General features: G+C 38.5%; 1 annotated feature.

Moving 5' to 3' along the window:
- Window positions 350-1,092: an enhancer, noted in NCBI's record as "OCT4-NANOG-H3K27ac hESC enhancer chrX:34782794-34783536 (GRCh37/hg19 assembly coordinates)". NCBI's record gives its function as "activates a minimal SCP1, AML or CMV promoter by ChIP-STARR-seq in naive and primed H9 embryonic stem cells {active_cell/tissue: H9 hESC(naive and primed)}" and the evidence as "EXISTENCE:reporter gene assay evidence [ECO:0000049][PMID:30033119]".

Consider the following 1,768-nt stretch of genomic DNA (forward strand, 5'->3'; position numbering starts at 1 on the left):
TTGTTCTAAGAAAATATTTTTAATTATATTACATTACATTATATATAATACATTGCACCCATATATATTCCAATAGCTCATTATGACTTATTACAAAAACACTTCACTCCTACCCCCGAGTTTCACTCCTCTGAAGTAATCAGTTTCAACTCTGTCAAAAATACAATCATCAGATCAAATTTTAAAAAAAATTTTAAAGTTTTTTGTGCGTAGAAAAGGACAGTTTGCAAACCAGGACTCCTCAAACCAAGAGCAGTAAGAAGCCCACTTCACAGCACAGTTTATAAAACATAAAGGATGAAGTATTTTGGCCTTTTTCATGATTGGCTGTTATATGTTAACATTCTTTTTAGCAAACAAAGCTGATTAAGCTGATTTCTCTATAGCTGATTAGCTTCATTTCACTGAATCATGCTGATGAGGATGTAAAACTGTTTTGGATTTAAGATTAAGGATAGTGTTTTAGGAAGTTCAGGATGATTTAAATTTTGGTTAAGTAACTATGGGCCTTAAAGTATATTTAAACTGTGGGTTTAAAGCTTTTAGCTTTAGCTCCCCGTTCTATGCCCTGGGAGGATGACTTCTATGGACTGGATCAGCAGGTTTCCCTTGAACTTTGGCTTTTAATTTCACTTTGGCAGTGACAGGTATTGGCAGGAAATCAAAGGGCAGAAGCAGAGAGAGGTCAGGTATATATTCCTGCTCCCTGATGATCCTTCCCTATCAGATTACAGTTTAATGGTCATTGTGTTCCCCTACCTATGGCCCCATCTCTTGTTCAGTGATTCTTTCCCACAGTTGGAGGTCTTTCTAGTTCCATTAACACGGCTCCACCCTTTGCCTCCTTTTAAGGGATGGGAAAAACTTCCCACTATTGTTAGTTCCTGGGTGCATCTCCATTTTTAATGCATTCCTCAGCCCTGCCCTCCACTCTAAAAATAGCCTCTTCATTAAATTCTCTTCAACTACTTTGAATAAGATGTTTTCTGCAGAGACCATGATTAAGGACTATTTCACTCTCATTGCTTACTCACACACTTACCCTCTTTCTCCCATCCTCTCAGTGTGGTTATGTATCAGTTAGACTACAACCAGAAAAAAAAAAAAAAAAGAAACTAAAAAAATTCTTGAAACATTTAAACAGATGGAATTTAAGAGAATTGGCTCTTCACTTGATGGTAACAGTTTGGGCAACACAGATTAATATCAGCAGAAAGCAGTTACCACTCCTAGGCTAGAGGTACTAGGGTGGTTTTACTGGCCTCCAGAGCCCAAGGTCACTTGGTAAATGTTGGAACCACAAGAACAATTGTCTGGAAGGGCTACTGGAGCAAAGGAGATGCAAACTTTGCTAGAAAAGCCAGCTGAAGCATAGAGGAAGAAGAAGAAACCTGGATTCCCTCTACTTCATGCCCTCCAGTCTCCCTTAGGTGCCTCCCTCTGGCTGAACCTACATGGAAGCCAGAGGAGAAGAAAACTTGGAAATATATGTGCAGGAGTCATCACTCTGAGATATAGAAAAAAAAGTCCAAGGGAAATTCTGGGGTATTTCAATTCTTTTATGTAGGCAACCATTCAATCCAGGGTAAAAGCCAAAGCTCAAGTAAGTGTACCTATGTGGATAAATTTTACCTGATGTTTACCCTTATGTTCTATTCTCCTTGGTCCAGCAAACTTCAAATCCATTCCCAGAATATGTTCTGATTTCTTACCTATACGATTAGTAAGAACTTGCAACTACATTGGATAAAAGTGCTAGCTCCTTCCC

This window comes from Homo sapiens, chromosome X (genome assembly GCF_000001405.40).
Source record: "Homo sapiens chromosome X, GRCh38.p14 Primary Assembly".
Lineage (NCBI taxonomy): Eukaryota > Metazoa > Chordata > Mammalia > Primates > Hominidae > Homo > Homo sapiens.